This window comes from Homo sapiens, chromosome 4, assembly GCF_000001405.40.
Source record: "Homo sapiens chromosome 4, GRCh38.p14 Primary Assembly".
NCBI lineage: Eukaryota > Metazoa > Chordata > Mammalia > Primates > Hominidae > Homo > Homo sapiens.
Genome location: NC_000004.12, coordinates 33,960,161 through 33,984,989, shown reverse-complemented (window position 1 = coordinate 33,984,989; position 24,829 = coordinate 33,960,161). Strand labels below are relative to the sequence as shown.

General features: G+C 35.5%; 1 long non-coding RNA gene and 1 pseudogene across 1 annotated transcript in view; one reads left to right on the top strand and one right to left on the bottom strand.

The window, feature by feature from the left end:
* LOC101928622 (uncharacterized) overlaps positions 1-24,829 on the top strand; it is a 143,555-nt gene that overhangs the window by 54,904 nt on the left and 63,822 nt on the right. Inside the window, exons 2-3 of the long non-coding RNA NR_125902.1 lie at positions 4,704-4,785; positions 14,034-14,199. This is a non-coding gene — a long non-coding RNA (uncharacterized LOC101928622). The remainder of the gene's footprint in view (positions 1-4,703; positions 4,786-14,033; positions 14,200-24,829) is intronic.
* On the bottom strand, positions 16,423-16,843 carry RPL31P31 (ribosomal protein L31 pseudogene 31; annotated as a pseudogene).

Below are 24,829 nucleotides of genomic sequence, written 5' to 3'. Positions count from 1 at the left end.
GAGAAAATCTTTAAAAGGAAAGAATAAATAATAAGATAATAAAATATATATATTTAAAAGGAGGATGGGCTGGGCGCGGTGGCTCACGCCTGTAATCCCAGCACTTTGGGAAGGAGGCCGAGGCAGGCAAATCACCTGAGGTCAGAAGTTCAAAACCAGCCTGGGCAACATGGTACAACCCCATCTCTACTAAAAATACAAAAATTAGCTGGGTGTGGTGGCATGTGCCTATAGTCCCAGCTACTTGGGAGCCTGAGGCAGGAGAATTGCTTTAACCCAGGAGGCAGAGTTTGCAGGGAGCTGAGATAGAAACACTGCACTCCAGCCTGGGCAAGAAAGTGAGATTCCATCTCAAAAAGGAAAAAAAAAAAATAGAGAAGAATGAAGTTGAATCTGCCAACAAAATATTGAACAAACAACTGAAACAGAAACATTAAGAAAGGGGAAAGAAGAGAACATCTCTTAATAAAGCACATGGGTTCAGCTACTGACCACTTCCATGAATTTGGCTGTCTTCAACATGCCCTTCTTATAATTCCACTTCTTCCAAATATATGTTATCTACACATATATTAGATATTGTTTCTTATATTGTTAACCCTTGTGTTTATTCTCATTTGGTAAAGTAGTAGAACCAAGAGAGAACAAACCAAGTTCTTTCGAAATGTGAAAATTTGGGGGGTCACAGGATAGAAGGCAGGAGCGCATCAGTGGGCACAAAATCCCAGAGGAATACCAACCATTTCTCAGCTTTTGGCCCTTTCAATCCACTGCATGATGCACCAAGGATGTTCAGGAAAGTAAAATGGCACTATTTCATCAATCATTTCCAAGGCGTCTATAAAATGCTGCCCTGTTCAGGGAAGAAGGGCATTTTCCCTTACCTAAAATGAAAATCAGCTTAACAGAAATTGAGCTTAAACATTTTACCCAACTCAGTAATTTTGGCATTTGTAAATTACCTGATGGATACATACTTGTTTCTTATCTAGAAATTAAAAAATCTTACAGTAGTTTTGTAGGGTGAAAAATCTATTTCTGTCGTTGACCCAAGTATTCCCAGTAAGGAAAGAAAAGCTTTTATTGTATTAGATCCTGGTTGCATTAAAATTATCTTTAAATATTTTGACTTCATCTATTTGTTAAAACTATCAAATAGTTTACTTAGCAAAATAAATATTTAATTCAGAAAAGAAAATAAAGCAATTACTGTGTGTAGATTCAGCCATATACTTAGAAGGTGCCAACTTAATTGCTCAAACAGAGGTGAAGGCTTTCTTTTTCATTCTATGGTCACATTCCCTTTTAGATTCATATGTGTATGTGTGTGTATGTGTCTGTATGTGTATAATTTATATATAATTAATGTATAAATATATGTTATATATAACATATGTTATACATATGACATACATAAATATTTATATTCATTTACTTATTTGTTATACATTTAGTAACTATCAACAATATGCAAGGTGCTAAGCATGTCACTATGTTAACAACTATGAAAAAGCCAAAGAAGCTTTGAGCTTGGAATCTAAAAGGAGAGACAGAAATCAAAGTTTATTTCTGTCTACAGAATTAGTTTATTAAAATATTAATAAATGATGTTTGAGAAAATTATAAGTTGTTATGAAAGCATAAACCACAGGACATGACAAGTCTAGAGATTTTGATAAAGCTTTTGTAGGGAGAATTTGAATGAATCGAACTAAGAATTTATGAAAATTGGGCTGGTAAGGAAAAGGGATAAATTTATTCTAGGAAGAAAAGGAATGGCAGAATGTCCTTAGGAAGAAGTGAGCATGAATTATTTGCTAACAGTGGAAAATGCTACGAAATTACGTGGAGTGCAAATTACACACCCAAGTAGAGATGTGAAAGTGCATAGGAAAACATGCAGCATTTAATATGCATTTAAAGTATATTATTAATAGCTTGAAAATAAATACATGAATGAATGAATGAAGAAAAGATTCAGCAGAAGATTTTTTGCTATCAAGAGGAGCAGAAAATACTTATTAGACAAAAGTGAAAAATGCACAGAAAATTGAGTTACTTGCCAAAGGTCATCTGGAAGCATCAAGGAAGGAATTAAAATGAAGTGGAAAAGAAACACAAGCTTAGAGAAATTATGTTGAGACCAGAGGCTATTTATTTTTAAAATTGGAACACTTTTCTCTGAACTTATAATACATTGAAATTCATTGGAAATATTATTCATACTCATATCTAAGTCAAATATATAATCTACCAAATGGTTTCTGGCATATATTTTCCTTTCAGTCTTTTCTTCAGAGCATACCATGAAAATACATGAGATAGATGGGATTTATAAAAGGAGACATAGAGATTGTGGGGCTACATTATTTTGAATAAATAAGAGAAATGAAATCTAATTTAAAAACATATCACAAGATCTAACTTATTGTTATATACACAAAGTACATTTTAGTAGACAATATACAGATAAGAATGTTTCTTTTAAATCAACATTTGTTGACAATGTTATCCATTATCCTCTATTATTCTTATTAGTTGTGTCTTATTTTTATTCAATTTTTTTCTATTGGATTTTTTATGAGAGATTAGTTTGGTTATAAGATTTTAAATATAACAATATTATATCAGAATACATATTTCAATTCAAATGAATCTTTTTCCAAGTTTACAATCAACTATGTCCTTCCATAATTTAATTTGTTGAAAATAGGAAGCATACTGGTAGTACATTTTAGTAATTTTAAAATCCTTTAATAAAGGAAAAATTACATTTTGGCTTTGAGAAATATCATCTTCAATAATAAAAACATTCTTTCATATTCATATTTATATTCATAGAGCATAAGGTATTCACTCTATATCACTCTATAGTACGTTTTTAGATTTGCAAATATTTTTGAGTAGAACATAAAATATCTAACTTCCCAATATCAAGGATGGGTGAACATCAGAAAGCTACCTTTGTTATCCTAAAGCAACTTAGGTTTTGTTGAGAAAATATAATTAAAACAGTCTTATTCCAACCCTGAAAACCTCTCTACAGGGGTAAAAGAGAAAAAAAGCAATTTTATTATTGAATAAGCATGAAACCAGGATGTGATGCACATCACAGGCAATCCACTAAAGAGAATGCAGACAGAAAGGAATCTCACCCTTTTATATAGCCAAACAGACACAACCGATTACATACACCTTTTCATTGTTGTGAGATCGTCATAGGATGTAATGTACTTACATAAACTTGGATGTTCTTACAGCACATAGTCTATATGGTATAGCCTATTGCTCCTAGGCTACAAAGCTGTACATGTTACCAGATACTGTAGGCAACTATAACACAATGGTATTTGTGTATCTAACCATATCTAAATATAGAAAAAGTACATGAAAAATACATTATAATCTTATGAGACCACCATTGTAATATGATCCATTGTTGAACAAAATGTTGTGATGCAGCACATGACTACATAGGCCTTTTAGTAATTATTCAATCTTCCTAAATAGCTTTTCTCAGTTTTGCAATTCAGTAACATCCATGGTCATCATCTAATATAAAAGTCTTGGCCGGGCGCAGTGGCTCATGCATGTAATCCCAGCACTTTTGGAGGCCAAGGCGGGTGGATGATGAGGTCAGGAGTTCGAGACCAGCCTGGCCAACACGGTGAAACCCCGTCTCTACTAAAAATACAGAAATTAGCTGAGCATGGTGGCAGGGGCCTGTAATCCCAGCTACTTGGGAGGCTGAGGCAGGAGTATCACTGGAACCTGGGAGGCAGAGGTTGCAGTGAACTGAGATCATGCCATTGCACTCCAACCTGGGCGACAAGAGCAAGACTCTGTCTCAAAAACAAAAACAAACAAACAAAAAGTCTTATTATAAGGTACAAACTGAAAGGCACAGATTAAACTTTGAGGGTTTAATGTATATAACTATTATTATTTTAAGTCTTGAAGACAAACCTAGCCTATGCGTAATTTTTTTTTCCAGAATGGGATCTAAACCAATAGCTCTATGTTATAATAGTCAACAAAATATTCATGAATGATAGAAATTCAGTTTCATGTATCAATTTATACTTAGATGGGAGAGAAGTTACATCACAAAGTTAACTAAGTAACAGTAGACCTGTTTTTTGTAGTCTCTATCTTACAATGCCAAGTTTCTATTTTTCTATTAGCTGGAATGTTTATGTTTTCGATTAAGCCAATTAATTGTTTTTGTTTGTTTTACAAGTAGGACTTGTCTTAGTCCATTGTGTGTTGAGATAGCAGAATACTAAGATGGGGTAATTTATGAAGAAAACTATTTCTTACATTTCTGGGGACTGAGAAGTCTAAGGTTGAGGAGCTACATCTGGTGAAGTCATCGTGCTGGTGAGGTCATCATAACATGGCAGAAAGCACCATATGGCTCATATTTCTCCTCCCTTTCTTATAAGGCCACTAATCTCATCACGGGGGCCCTACTCTTATGACATCATCTATCACTACATCCCAAAGGCCCTACCTCCAAATAGCAACAACACATAAATTTGGGAATTAAATTTCTGACACATGGAATTTGGGGACACATTCAAACCACAGCCAGGCTTGAGTACTTGGATGCATATTAGTTTTATTTTGTTATCAACAATTATAATGAAGATGGTCTCACCTTTACTCTTTCAATAATAAAACTGTTGGTTATACAATTCCAGGTCCTGTTTCTGCTGGGAGGACAATTTGAGCTAACTGGAAAGGGGATTGTGAGAACCATTACTGGGAGTACAGAAAGAAAAGGTCATGTAGCAAATAACTTTTGATTCCTAGTAAAATATAATTCTTAAAGTAGTCAAAATAAACCTACTGGAAATAAGACAGCAAGACCATCTAAAATGTAATATGTTCTCTAGATTACCTCTTTATCTGAATTCAATACGAAGCTCAGTTACTCTTGAAAACTTAAATTTCAAGGCCTTGTGAGAACCACAGTCAAGTCTTCCCCGGGTGCTGTCTCCACGTGGGAAGCATGACTCCAGCTGAGCTGTTTCTCTTTTGTTTTGGTTTTGGTTTTTGTTTTATTTTGTTTTAATCTCTGATAGCCAAACGAGTGATCAGTAGCACTTGAAAGACTTCTTCCCAACATGGTGACTGCATTTTCTTTCTGGAATACCTTTTTGTAGATGAAATTTCCTGGTCCACAGAGATAGCCAATTTCCACTGGCGTGTCCTTCCAGATCCTATTGTCTTTAAGTTTCAGGGTTTCTAGGAAAGAGATAAACCCTTTTAGGCATTGGAAATGGTTAGAAGAGGATTTGCTTATATCAGGCACAGGACGTGCTCTTAGACCCAAATTCATGGGCCTGCCAAATGTAGGTTCAAAGAAAAGATTCTGTGCTTGAATGCAGAGGCAGGAGGAAAAAGACTAATGATAAAACTCTGGAGATTTTAACCCAGTACATAGCTGAGTCTTAGTTAATTATTTTTTAAAATTTAATTTATCTACTTTATTTATCTGGAGGACTGAGGAATATAAGGTGTATGATACTTTATGGAAATCAGCACACGTTTGCATAAATCCTAGGTACAAATAAAATAACTTTCTCTGTCTGATTCAAATATTGTGGTATCCCAAAAGTTAGAACTAAGGTTTTTAAGAGAGTCTTTACCATTGCCTGAAAATCAGTTTTTATGTTTTGTTTCATTTTTTTGAAGAGGTTAAGGTCTCAGGTCATCCAGACATCACACACACAGTAAACAGACAAAGCTCTTACCTTTTACATGTAGTTCTATGAAACTCAACTACCAAAAGGTTCCTGGTAGTTATTCAGAGAGGATTTCCTGTGGTTTATTAGGAGTAGCATGTAAATAATTCTGCTGACGAATATTACATCTCTCTAATATGTTCGTATTAAAAAAATCTTTTTTGGTATGCAGGCTCAGAGTCTAGTGACTTTAAAATTCATCTTTTTTTGAGATGATTTGTTGATGACATAATAACCCTAACCAGGCCAGGCACGGTGGCTCACGCCTGTAATCCCAGCACTTTGGGAAGCCAAGACGGGCAGATCACGAGGTCAGGAGATGGAGACCATCCTGGCTAACACGGTGAAACCCCATCTCTACTGAAAATACAAAAAATTAGCCAGGCGTGGTGGTGGGCGCCTGTAGTCCCAGCTCCTCGGGAGGCTGAGGCAGGAGAATGGTGTGAACCCGGGAGGCGGAGCTTGCAGTGAGCAGAGATGGCACCACTGCACTCCGGCCTGGGTGACAGAGTGAGACTCCGTATCAAAAAAAAACAAAAAACAAAAAAACAAAAAAAAAAACCCTAACCAAAGCAAATAAAGGTTTTGATATAGGAATTATTATTGTGTTAGGGCATTCCCATAGTCCAGTTAAATTTCTTTTTTCTTTCTTTTGAATTTATTCTTCCTGTCTGACTAAAGTTTTGTATCCTTTGAACAATGTATCCCCAATATCTACTGCACCTCTAGTATCTGGTAGCCAGCATTCTACCGATTGCTTATAATAGTTCAACTTCTTTAGATTTCACTTACAAGGGAGAGCAATAGCATAATGTTCTCCAGCCTCATACATGTCGCCACAAATAACAAAATTTCCTTAATATTTAAGGCTGAATAGTACTACGTTGCACACACACACACACACACACACACACACACAAACACACACACATATGTTTTCTTTTTCCATTCACCTGTTGATGAACATATTGGTTGATTCCATATCTTGGCTATTGTGAATTATGCTGCAGTGAAAATGTGGGAGTACAGATATCTGCTCAACATGCTGATTTCAATTCTTTGGTTGTATACCCAGAAGTGGAAATTTTTGGATCACATGGTAGTTCTATTTTTAATTTTTTTGAGAAACCTTTATACTGTTTTCCATAATGGACGTACTAATTTGTATTCTCACTGACAGTGTGCAGAGATTCCATTTTTCTCTTCACAAACTTATATTTTCTTTAGATATCACCTTACACCTGTTAGAATGGGTATTATCTCCTAGAGCAAAGGAAAAACTTTTCTTTCCCCCTCTGAAAGTTCACTGAAAATCAACTAAACTAAAGGAAGATTAAAGGAGAAAAGGCATGCAAATTTTATTTTGATGTGTATAGGATGAGGAACTCTCACTAGAATGATTACTGAAAAACCCAGTGGGGTACAGATGAGTATTTTTTTTTAATACGGGAAAAGGAGTTGGCGAAATGTGGATGATTTTAAGGAGGATAATGAATGACTTGTAGGGGACTCAATGGGTTTGGAAAACATACAGTGGCCTAGGACAAAGTCTGTTTGGGCTGCAGAGCAGACAATGGTTTGCCACCAAAGTCTGTCCAAGTGTGTTGACAGACTTCAGGTTTTCTTCCTGAGATACCAGTTCAGTTAATGAAAACTCAGGGAAAGGACCAGAAGTAATTGTTTTCTTCTTTGGTGGGTCTGATCTTTAGGCACATAACAGAGTATCAGAGTAGAGCTTCTTCCAGCCTCTGCTGGTCTCCAAGGGTCATTCATTTAAAATAATCAGCAAACTATGGTGCTATATTTGGGGGTAAAATTCCCTGGTCTCCTTGGCTCCTTATGGTTTTAATTTGCATTTCTTTAGTGATATTGAACATTTTAAATAAACCTGTTGACCATTTGAATGTCTTCTTTTGAGGAATGCTTATTCAGATCTTTTGACCATTATTTAATCAGATCATTTTTTCTTATTATTGAGTTGTTTGAATTACAAATATATTTACAAATATACCTTTTCAGACATATAGTTTGTAAAGCTTTGCTCCCATCCATAGATTGTCTCTTCACTCTTTTGATTGTTTCCTTTGCTGTTCAGAAGCTCCTTAATTTGATTCAATCTCATTTGTCTGTTTTTGCTTTTGTTGTCTATAATTTTGAGATAGATCAAGTTTCTTTGAATCTCTTATATAATTCATTTATTTCCTTTTGTGAAACATATTTTTGAACATTAAAAAATGTTTCTTAATGCAGTATAAGTGGAGCTTCTAAATTTGGAGTCTTCTATGTTTTATCAACAGCTCTTGAAGCTCTGTCAGCAAAATGAATTATTGATATTTTAGCAGGCAATGGTAAAGTTCATAACAAATCAGCCATCAATTTTCCAAGAGTTTTTTAGTTCTCATGGAAGTGAAAAATCCTTTTCTTTTTAATTTATGCTGTTGCATGACAGACTCAAAACATATATATGTTTTGTACTATGAAAAGTACTATGAATACTTTTGAAAATGTACACAAATGCATTTTAATTCCAGAACCAAAGAAAGGCATCTCTAGTATCTGTTATTATCTCCTCTCCTTGTGGAGACTTAATTCCAGGCAAAACAGAAGCTTCTATAATTTTATGAAAAGTTGCTATAGCATGGGAAGCCTTAACTAGGACACTTGTTTTCCACGTGCATGACCCATAAGTAAACATTATTAAATATGCAATATGAGCATAAACGTCACATAAATCAGGTCAGACTTCTCAAAATTTTGAATCTCCAAAGGTGGGAAAGAAGTTATATTCAATTTCAGCTTTTTATAAGCTCTTCATTTTATAGGGACCAGACCCAAGGATCTGGAGAATTATGCAAATGAGATGTATTGTTCATGCTGCAAAAAGTGGAATCCATTCTCTACAATACTGTGCTAATCCCTAAAACTATTTTTTTTTTAGTAGTAGTAGTAGTCCACTTACATCTGCAAAATGAACTAACACTTAGATGTAACACTTTGTGGCCTACAGCTATAAACCAATGACCTCAATACTTTGCCTCAGTTGAGCAATGCTGCAATTTGTCTACTGAGGCCTTATGCAATTGTACCAAGGCCAAGACATGAATTTTTCATTGCTCTCTAGTTTCTGAGGCTACCAGAAATTCATCTGTATTTGAATAACTATAGATGTTTCTGGTGGGAAAGGTTTGTCTGAGTGTTTTTTCTTTTTTTGGGAGGGGTTGTTATTGCTGTTTATTTGTTTGTTTTATAAACAATTAGCCTGATGCAGCTGTGAGAAGAGGTCCACCATCCTCCAGACCCCAGAATGGTAGATCCACCAACAGCTTGCACCATGCTCCTGGAAAAGCTGCAGGCACTCAAACACCAACCTGTGAAAGCAGCTGGGAGAGGGCCCATGCCCTGCAAAGCCACAGGGTTGGTGTTTCCCAAGGCTGTGGGAGCCCACTTCTTGCATCAGCATGACGTGGATGTGAGACATGGGTTCAAAGGAGATAATTTGGAACTTTAAGGTTTAGTGACTGCTCTATTGGATTTTGGACTTCTACGGGGCCTGTAGCCACTTTGTTTTGGCCAATTTCTCCCATTTGGAATGAGTGTATTTACCCAATGCCTGTACCCACATTGTACCTAGGAAGTAACTAACTTGCTTGTGATTTTACAGGCTCATAGGCCGAAGTGACTTGCCTTGTTTCAGATGAGATTTTGGACTTGGACTTTTGAGTTAATACTGGAATGAGTTAAGACTGTGGGGGATTGTTGGAAGGGCATTCTTAGGCTTTTAATTGTGAGAACATGAGAGTTGGGAGGGTCTTGGATGGAATGATATGGTTTGGCTGTGTCCCCACCCAAATCTGATCTTGAATTGTAGTTCTCATAATCCCCATGTGTCATGGGAGGGACCAGGTGAGATAAGTGATTTGTTGCGGTGGTTTTCCCCATTCTGTTCTCACAATAGTAAGTTAGTTCCCACAAAATCTGATCGTTATATAAGGGGATTTCTTATATAACCACCCTTCGCTGGGCACTCATTCTTCTTCTTGCCACCATGTGAAGAAGGATGTGTTTGCTTCCCCTTCTGCCATGATTGTAAGTTTCTTGATGTCTCCCCAGACATGCTGAACTGTCAGTCCATTAAGCCTCTTTCCTTTATAAATTACCCAGTCTCGGGTATGTCTTTTATTTTTTATTTTTTATTTTTTTTGAGACGGAGTCTTGCTCTCTCACCCAGGCTGGAGTGCAGTGGCACGATCTTGGCTCACAGCAAGCTCTGCCTCCTGGGTTCACGCCATTCTCCTGCCTCATCCTCCCGAGTAGCTGGGACTACAGGTGCTCGCCACCGCACCCAGCTAATTTTTTTGTATTTTTAGTAGAGACGGGGTTTCCCTGTGTTAGCCAGGATGGTCTCCATCTCCTGACCTTGTGATCCACCCGCCTCGGCCTCCCAAAGTGCTGGGATTACAGGCGTGAGCCACTGTGCCTGGCCAGTCTCCGGTATGTCTGTATTAGCAGTGTGAGAATGGACTAATGCAACCATCTCTATCAAATTTGCCTTTCTTCTTTACTGTAAGTATGTGAGTATGACAAAGTAAGTGCCCTCTTAAAATTTATTCCTTGCTATTCTTATATTTGTAATAACTGATTTTATTCCTTTTAATGGAGCTCTCAGTAAAAGATACCCTTTTGCATGGGTCATGGCTTACCCTTTTGATAAACAATTTTTATTGGTTCTATAGCAAGTACAACAAGTATCACTAGAGCCAAAAGTGAAACTTTGTTTTCATTTTCAGTTTGGAGTGTTTTTCTGGCACAGTGTGAGACTGCTGTCTTCTTACATAGCCCTTTTCTTTCAAAAGGCACATAGTAGCTAAATCAGATAACTTTTTTCCCAAGGAGCTCCAGAGACATTCACAGTACAAAATAAGGTAGCCTTTAAGTTGCACAGTTCTCTCCCAAGAAGATGTATAGGAGAATCAGGACAAGGTAAGAACACATGTTCCTCAGATCCTCAGAGGAGTTATCTGTATGGGAACTGGGGGAAAAAAAGAACAAGTAGGAAAAAAAATGGACATAAAATACCAGCAACTTGTATTAATCTATTACCAAAAGAATGTGAGAAATTATTGAGAAAACTACAGAAAAAGTAGCACCACTGTTAGCAATTCTCGCATCTGAGAGTCCCTAAAATTAAATCATTTTCCATTTATTCCATAGCTTTCTGGACTTCCCTGATTCCCTTGTCCCTGTGCCTCCTGTATCCTCCTCAGTCTACTTCTATGCTTCCTTTTCCAACGTCATGGATTCTTCTTTTTCAACCCTTATAGACTGGCCAGAGTAGAGATTATTCCCTTTAGTAAAGAATGCTCATTGATCAGTAAACACAGTAGGCTTTAATATTTTTTTCTCCTTTGTCTTTCTTTTGATGATACCCAAACCGAGTAGCTACTGATAAAACTCAAGTGATATTCTACACTCGCCATCCTATTACATTTTCTGTAATTCTGTTTTGTAGCCTGCAAAAGAGACAAGGCAAAGGTATTCAAGGTCAGAAGGCTATTTCATCTGCCATTGGATCTATACCAATAAACTTTACAAATGTCTCAGTGAACAATTAATGATCATGAATTGGGGGACTCACCCCCCTTCTGGGCACACCATTATATCTTCCAACTCACATTTCTCAGCAAGCATTCAACTCGAGCTATTAGCAACTGTTGTCAATGTGTCTCTTAAACTATTAGATCCTTTCATAGTTGTGTGTGGGTATTGGAGGGGAAGATGTGTATCAGATAATCAGCTTCCCTTGTCCACCAGAACTCCCTGATGAAGTCTTTGGAATCCTATTGTTCTTGTTCCATCAAAGGAGCAAAGCTGACTAGTTAGAAAATCTCATAGAGGAGTCAGTACACATCCCCATGTGTGAAGCTGTAAAGCAGTTTGCTTTGCACTACTTCAACTTCTGAAGCACGGGAAAAAGAAAAAGTTTATAAATGAATAATATTAGCTTGCAAGGAAGGCATGTAGATGAACAAGGAACCCTCAGTAGCTTCTTGATGGCATCAGCTTTGCTTGCAATACAAATAAAAGCAGGTTTTTCTCTCACTGAGACAAGGGAAATGTAAATTATATAGCGTTTTGGTTTCCTTTTCTGTGTCTACATTTATCAATTTAATATCTTTTCTGTTTGCCTTTTTTTTACATGTGACAAGTGCAGCTACTCTCCATCCTGTTGTCTTCATAAAAGACAGCCTTTTTTTCAAGTTCTCATATTTTCCTGATTAGATCTCCTTATATCTTCTGCTTTTCTAGCTACATGGTACATGGATAATAAGGGACTTTTGGAGGGGGAATCAGGGCTAAGACATAGAATGAAATCACATGAGGCACTCAAACCTGTGTCCTCAAAATAGAGTAGATAATAATGTTTTTCCCTTATCCCTCTTTTCAGGAAAATCTCCTGACAAAGGTATCTTAGTTAATTTGTGCTGCTGTAACAAAATTCCTGACACAGGATAATTTATAAGAACAGCATGTTATTTCTTATAGTTCTGGAGGTTAGGAAGTCCAAAATCAAGGCATCAACAGGTTTGTTTGCCTGGCAAGAGCTCTTTCTGTTTCCAATATGGCATCTTGTTACTGCATCCTCCGGAGGGGAGGAACACTGTTCTCACATGACAGAAGGCAGAAGGGCAAGGGAGCCAAAGTTTGAGTGAAATTTCCTTTATAAAAGCCTTAATCCCATTCAGAAAGAAGAAAACCTCATGGCCTAATCACCTCTGAAGGCTTCACCTCTTAATACTATCATATTGGCCATTGAATTTTAACACAAATTTTGGCAGGGAGACTTTCAAACCATAGCAGGAAGAAACCATTCATCCAAGAGATCATTAACTTCCCTTCCCCAGACTCATTCTGAGGTAGTGAGTGATACAGACAAGATGTTTAGGGGAAGCAGGGGGAGTAGCCACTGCAGAAAAAGGGTCAGAAGGGTTCTGTGAAAGAAAAATTACCTTTAATTCTCACATTTCCTGTTCTATTTTGCTTTTTTTCCTTTTGCCTATCCAAATTAATTTTTTTCTTAGAATAATATTGATTACATAAATACTAGTGATTCATTTGTTTTAGATGATGTCTGTATTAGTTTGCTAGGGATTGCATAACAAAATTCCATAGACTGAGTGACTTAAAGAGCAGAAATTTATTTTCTTCACAGTTCTGGAGGCTGGACATCCAAAATCAAGTTGCCAGCAGGGTTGGTTCTCAAGACACATCTCTCCTTGACCTGCAGATGATCATCTTCCTACTGCATCCTCACATGACCATGGCCTTTTTTTCTCTGTGGTTTCCATCCCTGGTGTTTCTTCCTCTTATTATAAGAATATGAGTCATATTAGATAAGGGCTGTGTTCTTAAGACCTCATTTGGCCTTAATTATCTCTTTATGCTGTATCTGTAAATACAGTCCCATTGGAGGTTAGGTCCTCAACCTATGATTTTGGGGGATAGGAGAACATATTCTTATGTAACAAGGCCTGTCTATGAACCTCAACACATTCATTTAGTTTATTCAAATCAGAAGAACTGTCCTCAGTCTACTGCTAGACTGAATTATCATACACTTATTCAAATATAATAGAAAGTTATTAACTCTTTAAGAGACACACTTTTCAGGCAACATTTCTGGTGTCATTGATTTTCCAACTATAGTAATCCTGATGAGAATTAGAGCCTGTATTATTGATGTTTATTTAATAGTAAAATCTTGAATTTTAAGATGGTAGTTCATTTGGCTGGTATTCCAAAATTGTTCAGAGTGAAAAGAGAGGCATAATAATTCACGGTATCTTACCTGAGTGTTGTGTGCCCACAAGACCTTCAGCTGGACCACTCAATTCAGAAAATGGAAAACTCATTCTATCTCTGTTGCCAAAATTGTTAGTAAAAATGAAAACAAAATCTCCTCCCAACTCTGAAAACCTCTCTGCTAAGGTAAAAAAGAAAGTAAAAATACTACCGACTAGCATTAAACCAGAATGTGATGCACATAGGCAATTTGCTAAAGAGATTGCAAACAAAGAAATTTCACCCTTTTATATATTCAAGAAAGTACAATCCATTACATATATGTTTTCCTAATAAATAATAGCTAGTCCTCTAGTAAGAGGACTTGATAGTACCATTTGTCACACATAGTTGATCCTAAATTCACTTGGTAATTGAGATGACCATCTGTGTTAGCTAATTGGATTTATTCAAAGGAAAAAACAAATTATCATATTTTTACAGCAAGAGGCAGTTTTGCAATTTGGAGTGAGAACCAGCCCCCTACACCCAAGGCTAAGCTCCTACCATTTCAGAAATTGAGAGATGGGGGTGCTATCTTCCTTGATGATTGCACTTCAGAGAGATGGTTCCAGGTCATTGAAAAAGATATTCCTTGACCTTAAAGCTGGTGAGAGACTTACTAAGTTTTATTTTGGTTTATGTTTTTTATCTCTATTAATGTTTAATGGATTACCTTTAAAATTGTATTGTGGTATTTTTGATATCTATATACATTGTATAATAATGAAATCAAGTTAATTAACATATCCTGTAATGCACATATTTATTATTTCTGTGTGTGTATAGGGTAAGAATATTTGAGATATATTCTCTTAGCAATTTTTGTGTATATAGTGTATTATTATTAACTATACTCACTATGCTGTACAACAGAGCCCCAGAACCTATTCTTCCTGTCTGACCAAAAGTTATTTGTAAGCCTGATTTATTTCACTTAGCATAATATCCTCCAGGTTCATCCATGTTGTCACAGATGACAGATTCCTTTTTTACTAATGGGTAAATAGTATTCCATTGTGTATGTATATACACCCCACATTTTAAAAATCCAGTTGTCTTTTCCTAGATACTTAGATCAGTTTCATATCCTAGCTATTGTGAATAAAGCTTCAGTGAACATGGGAGAGCAGATATCTCTTTGACATATTTATTTCAATTCATTTGAAGCAGAAGTGGGACTGGTGGATCACATGGGTAGTTCCATTTTTAATCTTATGAGAAACCTCTACACTATTTTTCATAACAACTGTACTAATTCATGTCTCATCAACAGTGAAAAAGTGTTACCTTCTCAACATCCTTGCCAATATTTGTAATCTTTCATTTGAGTTCCTTAACCCCTTATCAGACATATCGTTTGCAAATATTTTCTCCAATTTCACAGACTGTCTTTTCACTCTGTTGGTTGTTTTCTTTGCTGAGCAGAGGCCTTTTAGGTGTATGAAATATCATTTTTCCTATTTTTATTTTGGTTGCCTGTGCTTTTGGGGGTCATATCCTAAAAATCTTTTTAAGACTTATGTCAAAAAGCTTTTATCCTATGTTTTCCTCTATAACTTTTAGTGTCCAGTTTTACATGTAATCTTTAATCCATTTTGATTTGATTTTTGTATGTGGTTTGAGGTAAGGATCCAATTTCATTCTTCTGAATGTGGATTTCTTGTGTTTTTAGCACCACTTATTGAAGAGACCATCTTTTCCCAATATTTGTTCTTGGCATCTTTGTAGAAGGCTAGTTCACCATAAATGCCCAGATTTACTTCTTGTGTCTCTGTTCTATTCCATTGAGCTATGTGTCTGTTTCATGCCAGTGCCATGCTGTTTTGATTACTAGAACTTTGCCATGTATTTTGAAATCAGGTAGTATAATCTAGTGTGACTAGCTAGTCACACTAATTATATGAGATAACTAGTGAAAACAACCTTTTCTAATGATTTGACTATTCAGTGTCTTCTCACATTTCCTTCAAATTTTGCAAATTTTTTTCTATTTCTGTGAAAAATGTCATTGGAATTTTAAAAGGGACTGCATTAAATCTGTTTATCACTTTACATAGTGTGAACTTTTTAACAGTATTAATACTTTCAATCCATTAAAATGAGGTTTTTAAAAATTTATTTGTGTCTTCTTCAATTTCTTTCATCAATGTTTTATAAGTTTTAGTATACAGATCTTTCACCTCCTTGGTAAAACTTATTCCTGAGTATTTTTTGTACTATTATAAATGAGGCCATTTCTTAATTCTTTTTTCAGTTTATTGTTAGTGTATAGCAACACTATTGATTGTGTGTATGTTAATTTTGTATCGTGCAACTTTGCTGGATTAGTTTATTATTTCTAACAGCTTTTCTGGTGTAGTCTTGAGGGTTTTCTCTATATAAAGACTATACCATCTACAAATATAGACTATTTAACTTCTTTCATATTTGAATGTCTTTTATTTATTTTTCTTGCCTAATTGCTCTGATTGGACTTCCAGCACTATGTTGAATGAAGTGGTGAAACTGAGTAGCCTTATCTTGTTACTGACTTTATAAGAATCGGATTATCACCACTGAGGAGGATGTTAGCTATGAGCTTGTCATATATGACCTTTATTGTGTTGAAGTACATTGCTTCTATACCTAATTTATTGAGAGTTTTTATCATAAAAGAATGTTGAATTTTGTCAAATGCTTTTTATCTATTGAGATGATTATATGGTTTTTGTTCTTCATTTGGTTAATATGATATATTATGTTTGTTGATTTACATACAGTGAAACATCCTTGCCTGCCAGGAATAAATCCAACTTGATCATGGTGAATGTCTTTTATTTTATTTTATTTTGCAATTTTATAACTTCATTTGATGTATTTGATGATCAGCGATTAGTTCTCATCCAAATTGACTGTGTGTAGATTTCTGAAAGTGGTAACAGGTACATAGGTAACCAAAGTATATAGCTTACGTTTTCTGGACAGCCACACACGGATTCAGTATGGGACATTCCTTATTCCTTTGGCCCAGACAGCTTTGTTGAGCCTGGTATCAATGCACACATCTGGAGTTCCCGTCTCCTTCATGGCAAATTCCTGAATCTCTTTGAGTGCCCAGGGGCACGCTTCTTGAAGCCCACTCCATGGATGTGCTTGTGAATATTGATGGTGTATTCTCGGGTCACCACTTCGTTGATGGCAGAACGGCCCTTTTTCTTCTTGCCACCCTTCTTTGTGGGAGCCATTCTGCTGGGTCCAGGTTGGAAAGGAAGGTGAATAAGTCTTTTAAAGTACTGTTGAATTCAGTTTGCTAATATTTTTTATTAAGGATATTTGCACCAATGCTCATCAGGGATATTGGCCAGTAATTTCTTTTCTTGTAATGTTCTTAGCTGGCTTTGGTATCAGGATAATGCTAGCCTTATACAATGAATTTAAAAGTATTGTCTCCTCTTCAAGTTTTTGGAAGAGTCTGAGAAGAATTGGCATTAGTTCTTTAAATGTTTGGTAGAATTCAGCCATGAAGCTATCAGATGCTGGGCTTTTTGTTGGTGTTATTTATTTTTTGTTTTGTTTGCCTTGATTTAATCTCCTTAGTCATTAATGGTGTGTTCAGATTTTTTTATTTCTTCATAATTCAGTCTTTGTACATTGCATGTGTTTAGAAATGTATCCATTTCTTTTGGTTATACAATTTGTTGGCTTACAATTGTTCATTGCAGTCTCTTATGATCCTTCATATTTCTGGGGTATGAGTTGTAATGTCTTCTTTTTATTTATGATTTTATTTATTGATGTATTCTTTCTTTTGATCTTTTTTGTTGTCTTTCAAGTCTTTATTTCATTTATTTCACTTCTGATTTTTGTAATCTTCTTCCTTCTACTGACTTTAGGCTTTGCTTTTCTTTTACTCCTTCGTGTAACATTAGGCTTTCTATTTGAGATTTTTTGTTTGTTTGTTTAATATAGATATTTATTTCTATAAACTTTCCTTTTAGAACATTCTTTTCTGCATATCATATGTGTATTAGTTTGATTTCATGCTGCTGATAAAGACATACCCAAAACTGGGAACAAAAAGAGGTTTAATTGGACTTACAATTCCACATGCTGGGGAGGCCTCAGAATCATGGCGGGAAGTGAAGGGCACTTCTTGTTCGTGGTGGCAAGGGAAAAAATGAATGAGAAGAAGCAAAAGCAGAAACCCCTGATAAACCCATCAGATCTCATGGGACTTATTCACTATTATGAGAATAGCATGGGAAAGACCAGCCCCCTGATTCAATTAACTCCCCCCAGGGCCCTCCCACAACACTTTGGAATTCTGGGCGATACAATTCATGTTGAGATTTGGGTGGGGACACAGCCAAACCACATCAATATGTTAAGTTACTATTTTCATTAGTCTCAATTATTTCTTGTTTGACCTAGTGGTTGTTCAGGAGTATGACATCATTTTATATTTTTTATAGCAGTGTGTATTTTTGGTGGCTTTGATTTGTGTATAAAGCTATGATTTTGATAATAGACTATTACTCTTCTTATAAAGATGAAGAAACAGAAACTCTAACTTATTTGCCTGATATCAAAAATAGTTATTGGTAGAGATTATAATTTTTTGAGGTGTAAGATGTACAGAAATCATCAGGATATAAATTGTTTACTCACAAATATTCATGTGTATATATTTTATGTACCTAAATGCAGATATTCATGGATGACCATAAGTATAATTATGAAGATATTTTTAAAAGAATTTTGGCTGGGTGTGGTGGTTCACACCTGTAATCCCAGCACTTTGGGAGGCCAAGGCAGGTGGATCACTTGAAGTTAGCAGTTCGAGACCAGCTTGGTCAAAATGGTGAAACCCTGTCTCTACTAAAAAATCAAAAAACAAAAATTAGCTGGGCATGGTGGTGCGTGCCTATAATCCCAGCTACTCAGGAGGCTGAGACGGGAGAATCGCTTGAACCTGGGAGTTGGAGGTTGCAGTGAGCTGAGATTGTGCTATTGCACTCAAGCCTGGGTAACAGAGTGAGACTGTGTCTCAAAACAATATATTAATAATCCTATTACTCATTTTTCTTTAAACTTTATGACTTTTTCTCTCAAATTGAAATCAAAATAGAAAATAATGTATACTTATTTTTAGTGATATTGAACTAATTAATACTTTAAAATGTAACTTTCTCATATTTTTTTCTTAACATAACCTTTATTTTTTACCTTAGCTCCAAGGGTGAGATTAAAGATAGATTTTGTCTTACTAAGAGAATTTTGCAAGGAAAAACCAAAACCGTTAGAAAATATTTGTAATAAATAGACACTATTCCTTGTGACTGCTCTAAAACCTGAGACAGATGAGCCTCTCCTTGGGTTTGTTCTTTAGAAGTCTTCACCGATTACAATCCCCAAATACTTCACAGTGCATTACGAACTTTTCTTTGGGATTCAGTGTTCAGTGCTGACATAGCATCGCTCCAGTTACTAACATGGTTTATGCTCCAGGGAAGCACTTCACAAGTTTTGCCCTAAGTTCTCAAAACAATTGCATCTCAAGGTCATAAGGGTTGTGGATTTCTTCTCTCCTAATATTAATGGAGAGACTGAAGCATTTGGGAAAAATATGCACAGACTTTGAACTTGTCAGGTCCTACTCTCTTTTACCTGGAATGAAATAGTTTCCTGTATAGCAAAATGTAATTTTTCAATAGCTTCAATTGTCCATTTGCTTGTTTTGTTTATCTTCTAATTTGAGATTTTGGATAAACCCATGATTGGTTGTGAGTTTCACAATAGTTGTACATGGTTATGAATGAATTCTTTTGGTATTAAATAATTCCTGTAACTACTAAATTTATATATCTACATGACCAGCAGGCATGAATAATATATTTTTTTTACATTGAACATTAGAACTGTGAGTGGTTTTATTCTTATATATAAAGAAATGTAATTTTAAAAATAATTATGTCAATTCTATCATTTTACTTAATTTTGAATATTAATTGATTATGGTATGTATATTTTGGTTTTAACTTAGTTTTAGCATTTAAGAAAAAATGTACAAATAATGTATATTTTTACATTTAATTTATTATGTTTTTAAAAATATTTTTAAACTTTGTTCACTTTTGAATAAGATTGTACAAAATTTTAAAATTCTACGGATAATTGGGATGAAATATGAGAGTAATTATGTTATATTTAGAAAATAAAAACAGAAGAACAAGAAAGTATAGACATAAAGGCGAAAAAGTAAAGAAGAAAATCTTCTAAAAACGTCCTAATTACATGTTTAAAAACTGAAAACAATGAAAGAGTGAATTGTATCATATTTGGTCTTTACAAAATTCTTGAACCGAGCGTTACAAATTTCATAATGTGATTAAAAATGAAAGCTATAAAAGTGAGAAAGAAAGTTATTCTCGTCAAATCCCCAACATGAAGTCATTGGATATACTCCATGAAATGTCATATTCTTTTGTTAAGGAGATTTGATTGGTGCCAAAATAATTACAGCGACAAATAATATTTTATTCATACCTCAGAAGTAGTGGATGAATTTGTGGCCTGTGCATTAGAAGATAATATTATATTGATTAACTTGACATGTTTGTTTAGAAAGTCGGAAACTCTGAAGTGTTGCTGTATTCCTTGTTCATAATGACACGTGCTTTTACATAAAAACCGATTAAAATCAGAAGACTTTAATGCAAGTCTCCATTGGTATTGTTATATTAGTTGTGGATTATTCCAATAGAAAGGAAAATGTTTTAAAACATGGAAATCAATATGGTTGATTAAGTCCTAGGAGAAAGACATGGTTATTAGAAAACCTAATTTACATAGAAGAAAAAATAAAACCATAATAATTAGTCATACTGTCATTCTCTGGGATAGTCTTGGATGTCACATCTAAGTTCAAAGTGCTTTTGTTCTTCAGTCACTTTCATTAATAGGCTGTGTGTAATGGCAATTATTTAACCAATTAACCTCACCCATACCCAAGTTCTATTTCGGCGTTAAGGTCAAGTAATCTAAGCTGCTCTATAATTACCCTTTATGGTGAATGAAGAAATTTACCATCCCAAGATTTAAAAACAAACAAAAAACAATACTTACTTATTTTGAAGTATACAAGATAATTAACAAACATTTTAAAATCATTGATTTTATGTGCATTCTGATAGTTTTTTAAGATGTTTGAACATTTTAAATACTTTTTTTTTTTTCTTCTTGAGACGGAGTTTCACTTTTGTTGCCCAGGCTGCAGTGCAATGGTGCAATCTCAGCTCACTACAACCTCCACCTCCCGGGTTCAAGCAATTCACCTGCCTCAGCCTCTCAAGTAGCTGGGATTACAGATGTACACCACTATGCCCAGCTAATTTTTTTTGTATTTAGTAGAGAAGGAGTTTCACTACGTTGGTCAGGCTGATCTGGAACTCCTGACATCAGGTGATCCACCTGCCTCAGCCTCCCAAAGTGTTGGGTTTACAGGCATGAGCCATGGTGCCCAGCCTAAATACTAAATTTATGTTTGAGTTAGCATATTTGTTCTCAAGGGCTTAGTAAGACCTTAGTTTTTTCAATAACTAACTACTTTCTTAAGTGCTTGCAATGTTTGAGAAAATTAACCCTATTTAATTGTATATGTAGTTCAAAAAGCTTAAAATAATTTCATAAATTGTAAATAGGGTTAGATATAATTTTTTAAAAATTTACATATATTAGATATATTACTTAATTTAATATTTATCCAAATGCATGTTAAAAATGATTGAATTTGTATATACAAATTACTTAAATGTATGATTCATATACAGAAGTGATATTTGAAATTAGGGAATTAAGAAAGAGTTTCTAAGCCTGGCATGGTGATGTGCTAATAATTCCAGCTACTACTCGGGAGGCTGGTGCAGGATGATCCTTTGAACCCAGGAGTTTGAATCCAGCCTGGGCAACATAGCAAAGCCCTTTCGCTAAAAAAAAAAAAGAAAAGAAAAAGAAAAAAAGAAAATAGTTCCCCAATTTATAAACTTCTCATGTGTAGAATTGATAGATAAGAATGTGTCCCCTCAGAATATAAATTAGTTCAGCCATTGTGGAAGATTGTGTGGCGAAGATCTAGAATCAGAAATACCATTTCACCCAACAATCCCATTACTGGGAATATACCCAAAGGAAAATAAATCATTCTGTTACAAAGATACGTGAATTTGTACGTTCATTGTGGCACTGTTTACAATAGCAAAGACATGGAATCAACCTGAATGCTTATCAATGACAGACTGGATAAAAAAGTATGGCACATATACACCATGGTATACTATGCAGCCATAAAAGGAACAAAAATCATGTCTTTGCAAGGACATAGGTGGACCTGGAAGCCATTATCCTCAGCAAACTAATGCAAAACCAGAAAACCAAGCATTATATGTTCTCATTTATAAGTGGGAGCTGAACAATGAGAACACATGGATGAGACTCTGTCTCAAAAAAATTTTTTAAAAAAGGCTCGTGCCTGTAATCCCAGCACTTTGGAAGGCCGAGGCAGGCAGATCGCCTGAGGTCAGGAGTTCGAGACTAGCCTGACCATCATGGTGAAACCCAGTCTCTACTAGAGATACAGAAATTAGGCAGGCACCTGTAATCCCAGGTACTTGGGAGGCTAAGGCAGGAGAATTGCTTCAACCCAAGAGGAGGAGATTGCAGTGAGCTGAGATTGCACCACTGCACTCCAGCCTGGGTGACAGAGCGAGACTCGGTCTCAGGAAAAAAAAAAAAAAAAAAAAAGAAGGAAAGGAAGGAAGGAAGAAGAAAAGAAAAGATTAGGACATGCTTATCAGATAACCTTTGATGGGTTTTGAGAGAGTGCTCCACAGAAGCATCTGTGGAATATGATAAAAGTTGATTTTTTTAAGATAAAGAATTTTGAAAGTTTTGGGTATATTTCTTTTAGTACCTTTGGCAAACACATGTATAAGAAGTTATGGCCAGGCGCGGTGGCTCACGCCTGTAATCCCAGCCCTTTGGGAGGCTGAGGCGGGTGGATCACGAGGTCAGGGGTTCAAGACCAGCCTGACCAACATGGTAAAACCCCTTCTCCACTAAAAAAATACAAAAATTAGCTGGGTGCGGTGGCGGGCGCCTGTAATCTCAGCTACTCAGGAGGCTGAGGCAGGAGAATTGCTTGAACCCGGGAGGCTGAGGTTGCAGTGAGCCAAGATCGCGCCACTGCACTCCAGCCTGGGTGACAGAGCGAGACTGTCTCAAAAAAAAAAAAAAAATTAGTTACATTAAAATTACATTCTGCTTCCTGGAGTATTTTTTAGCCACATAATTGCTGTGGTCCTGATCCTGTGGATCATATTTTGAATAGATTACAATAAAATCTTTAAGGATGAATCAGAACATCAATCTGGTTTTGTATATCTGGGGATCTGGGAGCAGTAGAAAGATTACACCACAAGGAAAAGTTTACTGCCTCAGGCTCAAGTTGCCTCTCTCATCTCTCAGTTATGCTAGAGACTTGGGGGTTTCTGTATTTTGTCCCAACACTCAGAAACTGATTATTTCAGTTTCTGTCTATATGTAAGAATATTGATCCCCCGTTGATATCCTGGGCTCCACTATTTTCATTGCATTCTATTTTCTTGCCTTTTCTTAATTAGCTTCTATATAAAGAGTAAAATTTAAGTGCATGTTTATTCCATAAATAGGTCTGAAGAAATGTGGCTATTACAGAAGTAAATCCCAAAGCAATTCATAGGTAGTTTCTGAAGCTGCCAAAAGAAAAAGTAATTAGCTGTTAGTTTATATGACACTATGCAAACTTTTTGTTACATGAGAACTACAACATGATGTGAAGAAGATATATAGACATCTATATAGACATCAAAGACAGAAACACATGAAGACACATATTCAAGACCATAACACAAAGACTTTTTGAGAATTTCAACACTGAGATTAGAAAGTATATAAATCTCAAATGATTTAAACATTGCCTGTAACTTGCAATTTGTCTGTTTCCTTGGAAATAAGTTGTCTCCTGTCACTATATTGCTGCTCATTGGAAAAAAAAATATTGTTCTGCAAACCCCCACATAATTAGTATAGATAGATAGATAGATAGATAGATAGATAGATAGATAGATAGATAGTTACAATTGAGGGACAGCACTTAGGTCGTTTGTCATTATTTAATATGTTTAGTGTGGACTCTGTGTGTTTGTTCTGTTTTTATTTAATATTATATTATAAAAAAATCCAACAGAAACAGAGTGTAAATTATTTGCTCTGAATCTGAGAGATAAATGTTAACGGAAGCCAGATGCAAAAACAAGCAATTCAAAATGAAAATTTCAAGTAAAAAAAATTCATTTGGAAAATCAGTAGTAATCAGATGAATAAAGAGGTGCCATACTGATACATTAAAAAAAGGTGATTGTAAGCAAGCCCATCAGCATACTGCGTGTGTGTGTGTGTGTGTGTGTGTGTGTGTGTGTGTGTATGAAACAATATAGGCTAAATCACTACAACAAAAGTTTGAGAAATATAGTGACCAACAGAACACACACATACACAGCACACATATGCTGTGTATCAGTTTGGTTTAGGGCTATTTGCTGGGTTGAAGCTTTTAGGAACCCAAGATCTTTCTACTCAATTGTTACATTATTTATAGGGCTCACCTTTGCTGTATAATCAGTGATGACTCACTGTTACTTTATCATTCCAACTTTCGACTGAGGAAAGAAGAAATGTATGCTTTTTTCTTTTTTCAAAAGCTTGGACCCCAAATTGCAAGTATTACCTGTGCCTATAACTCATTAGCCAGATTCTTGCCATATGGCCACTCCTGCCTTCAAGAGAAGCTGGGAAATTAACATGTTAGCTGGTCAACAATGTGCCATGTAAATCTTTAACCACTATTGAAGAAGGCAGTGAGGACTCCTGGAGAACAACTAGCAGCTTATCTCTATGAAATGGTTCCTCATGAATGTTGTGACTTAGAGTGTTATTTGGATGCTACTTTCCAGAAAGTATGTTAGAAATCTAAATGCAAGAACCATACAAATGCAGTATAATTTACTTTAATTCTAATTCTATGCATTTATTATACGGAAAATAATAAAAATAGAAAATTTTAGAAAGAGATTTGTGACATCTTTCTTTTCTCTTTTATTTCTTCTTTTGTTATTTTTTCTCTTATACTTTTGTTTATTTTTTTCTTCAGCTTTTAAGTTCTG